This window comes from Homo sapiens, chromosome 3 (assembly GCF_000001405.40).
Source record: "Homo sapiens chromosome 3, GRCh38.p14 Primary Assembly".
Classification (NCBI taxonomy): domain Eukaryota; kingdom Metazoa; phylum Chordata; class Mammalia; order Primates; family Hominidae; genus Homo; species Homo sapiens.
The window spans coordinates 163126397-163129460 of record NC_000003.12 but is presented as its reverse complement, the minus strand read 5'-3'; the positions used below and the strand labels follow the sequence as shown (position 1 = coordinate 163129460).

The 3064-nt window shown below is 34.7% G+C and overlaps 1 annotated feature.

Moving 5' to 3' along the window:
* Positions 1298 to 1467: an enhancer, noted in NCBI's record as "experimental_66277 CRE fragment used in MPRA reporter constructs". NCBI's record gives its function as "activates a minimal promoter by MPRAs in K562 erythroleukemia cells, with activity observed for the non-introgressed 3:162845867 variant allele {active_cell/tissue: K562}" and the evidence as "EXISTENCE:reporter gene assay evidence [ECO:0000049][PMID:34662402]".

Sequence of the window (3064 nt, the reverse complement as noted above, 5' to 3'; positions counted from 1 at the left end):
GGAACATCTGGAGACTACTGTTCAAAGAATGCAGTCATGCAGGCCTGCACTGAGTCAAGCAGGTGACCACAATCACCCCCTTCTCCCTATCTCCTTTACTCCATAAATATGAAGGGCAATAGAAGCTCAGGGCCCTTGTTCACCAGAAGCAAGAAGCCCCCTGACTCATTCTTCCAAATATATTCTTTTGTCTTTGTCTTTATTCCTGCATTTGTCCTCCTTTGTTCAGTCCAATAGGGTCTGCAGCAGGGGTTGAGTTATTGATTTGATTCTCATCTTAGTCACTGTTGGTGTAGAGCAGGGCTACCAATTTTTATACATTATTTTTGTATCCTGAAACTTTACTGAATTCATTTACCAGCTCTAGAAGCTTTTGGATGAGTTTTTAGAATTTCTTAACTATACAGTCAGGTCATCAGCAAACAGTGACAGTTAGATTTCCTTTTTACCAATTTGGATGTCCTTTATTTCTTTCTCTTGTCTGATTGCTTTGGCTAGGACTTCTAGTACTATGTTGAATATAAGTAGTGAGAGTATGCATTCTTGTCTTATTCCAGTTCTCACAGGTAATGTTTTCAACGTTTCCTCATTCAGTATAATGTTGGCTATAGGTTTGTCATAGATGGCTTTTATTACCTTAATGTATGAACCTTCTCAGGCAATTTTGCTGAGTGTTTTAATAATAACAGAATACTGGATTTTGTTAAATGCTTTTTCTGTGTCTATTGAGATGATCATGTAATTTTTGTTTTTAATTCTGTTTATGTGGTATATCACATTTATTGACTTGTGAATGTTAAAATATCCCTACATTTCTGGTGTAAAACCCACTAAACAGGTGAATTATCTTTTTGATTTCCTGTTGTATTCAGTTAGCTAGTATTTTGTTGAGGATATTTGTATCTATGTTAATCAGGGATATTGGTCTGTGGTTTACTTTTTTTCTTCTGTTTTCTCCTGCTTTTGGTATTAGAGTGATACTGGCTTTATAGAACGATTTAGGAAGGATTGCCACTTTCTCTACATTTTGGAATAGTGTAAATAGGATCGGTACTAATTCTTCTTTGAATATCTGATAGAAGTCATCTCCGTATCCATTTGGTCCTGGACTTTTTTTTTGTTGGTAATTTTTTAATTACCATTTCAATGTCACTGCTTGTTATTGGTTTTCCAGCATTTCTGTGTCTTGCTGGTTTAATCCAAGAAGGTTGCGTATTTCCAGGAATTTACTCATCTCCTCTAGGTTTTCTAGTTTATAAAAGTAAAGGTGTTCATAGTATTCCTGAATGATATTTTGTATTTATGTGGTATCAGTTGTAATATACCCCCATTTCATTTCTAATTGAGCTTATTTTTATCTTTTCTCTTCTATTTTTATCTCTCTATCAGTCTAGAAACAGGAACAAACCCAAACCAAGCAGAAAAACAGAAATAACCAAGATCAAAACGGAACTAAATGAAATTGAAATGAAAAAGTACAAAGATAAATGAAACAAAAACCTGGTTTATTGAAAAGTTAAATAAAATTGATAATTCAATGGTTTTCAGTGGGAATATTATATTTGTGTACACAACTACTGAACTTTCCCATCATATATATTCCTAACCATATCAAGACACATTAAAATACCTATGTAAAAGCAACATTCATATTTGGATGTAAAATGCTTAAAACATTACTTTTTGTTAACAAACTATTTGCCATTGCATCTTTTATACATTGAAATTATGTTTATTATTATTTGCTTTATTATCCAAATTTTTAACAACACTTTGCCAAATTTTGGAGGTCAATTTTTAAAAATTAACAAAAACAAGAGCTAAATATAAAAATCCCTTAAAGAAATATCTTCAGACAAATATGTAGTAGCAGAAAATGGTTTACACTGAGAAGGATGCTCTGATGCCTTTCTAAGTTGTAGGAAAATGTCAAAAATGCATCTTCATTGTTGATTTTTGACATATTTTCATATTATCTACTTGTGAACTTGATATTCTGCAATTAATTTTAAAATATAGCTCAAATTTTCTTACCTGTTTGATATGGTATGGCTGTGTCTCCACACAATTCTCATCTTTAATTCCCACATGTTGTGGCAGGGACCCAGTGGGGGTGGGTCTTTCTCATGGTATTCTTGTGATAGTGAATAAGTCTCATGAGATCTGATGGTTCTAAAAAGGGGAGTTTCCCTGCAGAACCACTCGTGTCAGCTACCATGTGAGACATGACTTTCACCTTCTGTCATGGCTGTGAGTCCTCCCCAGCCACATGAAAGTGTAAGTCCATTAAACCTTTTTCTTTTGTCAATTGCCCAGTCTCAGGGATGTCTTTATTGGAAGTGTAAAAATGGACGAATACAGTAAATTGGTACCAGTAGAGTGGGGCATTACTGAAAGACACCCAAAAATGTGGACGTGAATTAGGTGAAATTAACTGAAAGATATCCAAAAATGTGGAAGTGAATTAGGTGAAATTAACGGAAAGATATCCAAAAATGTGGAATTGAATTAGGTGAAATTAGTTAATTAAGTGAAAGATACCCAAAAATGTGGAAGTGATTTAGGAACTGGGTAACAGACAGAGGTTGGAACAGTTTGGAGGGTTCTGAAGAGACAGGAAAATATGGGAAAGTTCGTAAGTCCCTAGAGACTTGTTGAATGGACAATGAAATCCAGACAGAGGTGACAATGAAATCCAGACAGAAATCCAGATAGACATGAGGAGCTTGTTGGGAATTGGAGCAAGGATGATTCTTGTTATGTTTTAGCAGCGACTGGCAGCATTTTGCCCCTGCTCTAGAGATCTATGGAACTTTGAACTTGAGAAAAATGATTTAGGGTATCTGGTAGAAGAAATTTCTAAGCAGCAGAGCATTCAAGAGATGATTTGGGTGCTGGTAAAGGTATTCAGTTTTAAAAGGGAAACATAGCATACAAAGTTTGGAAAATTTGCAGCCTTACAATGTGATAGAAAAGAAAATCCTATTTTCTGTGGAGAAATTCAAGCCAGCTGCAGAAATTTGCATAAGTAACAAAGAACCAAATGTTAATCCCCAAAACAATA